General features: G+C 57.3%; 1 annotated feature.

Annotated features, from left to right (window-relative positions):
- Positions 207 to 367: a silencer, noted in NCBI's record as "fragment chr18:14458017-14458177 (GRCh37/hg19 assembly coordinates)". NCBI's record gives its function as "represses an EF-1alpha promoter that drives an FKBP-Casp9 reporter gene in an ReSE screen in phorbol 12-myristate 13-acetate-treated (for megakaryocytic differentiation) K562 erythroleukemia cells {active_cell/tissue: K562(+PMA)}" and the evidence as "EXISTENCE:reporter gene assay evidence [ECO:0000049][PMID:32094911]".

The raw sequence follows: 1,036 nt of genomic DNA, 5'->3' as shown, positions 1-1,036 counted from the left end.
CGGGCAGGGTCAGGGTTGGTTGCAGGTGGCAGCTGAAGCTAAACCCATTGCGAGACTCAGGGTCACCAAGTTCACCGTCCTTTCATCGTAGTCTCTGATCTTTGGCCCGCGCCCAGACTGCGGGCTCGCCTGCGCTGGGGATTGCATAGCTTCTGGCGGGCAGTCAGCGCCAGTTTCACGTCCTCCTGTAGCTGCGTGGCCTAAGGTCTTAGGCGCCGCGGCGCTATCTGTCCCTGCTGTCCACGCTGCTGGTGGCGGGGACAGGGTCAAGGGTTGCCACTGCTGCTCCCGTGCGCCATCGGCAGGTGGCAGTTGCAGCTGAGCCCACAACTGAGGCTGTTGGGGCTGCTCCCAGGTTGTCAGAGGGTCACCGAGTTCACCGACATGCCACCCTATTTTATGCTCTTTCTTGGCCCGCACCCAGAGCGCCGGGTTACGGGTCCTGGGCCCTGTGCAGCCACAGGGATGGTGCTGAGTGCAGGTTCCCGTCTTCCTGAGATGCGGGGCGACCACTGGAATTAGCCTCTGTGGTGGTATCTGGCCCTAGGGTCCGAGCTGCTGACGGCGTGGGCGGGGTCGAAGTCGCCTCTGTTGCTGCAGCGTGCCATTTGCACTGTCCTCTGGAACAGGCTGATCTGTGCTGTGCATGGTCAGTGGAGTCTTCTCTGGGCATTCTTCACTGATATCTGCTGACATGGCTCATCTTCTCTTTGATTTTGCATGTATTGGTACCCACTGATGAAGTTTCTGGTCACCCACTGCCATTTTCCTCTAGCCTCCAAGACTTCACATTCTGAGGCCAGCATGTCCCACCAGGGGCCTCCACTGGTCCTGTCAAACCAGTTGTGAGTACCCCTCCCACCAAGCTTGGAGAGACTGGCTTTTCAGACAGCACTCACAAGCTGAGAGTAAGGGAATTGATCTCTCAGGCACTTCCCCCTGTCCTGCCACTCTGTCATTCCTGGGACACACTATGTGCACTAGAGAAGTAAGACACCAGCCTGCATATTTTCTCATCTTTAACTGTCTATTTTTT

The sequence above is a fragment of the Homo sapiens genome, chromosome 18 (genome assembly GCF_000001405.40).
Source record: "Homo sapiens chromosome 18, GRCh38.p14 Primary Assembly".
Classification (NCBI taxonomy): Eukaryota; Metazoa; Chordata; class Mammalia; order Primates; family Hominidae; genus Homo; species Homo sapiens.
This window is presented reverse-complemented; position numbering and strand designations above follow the sequence as displayed.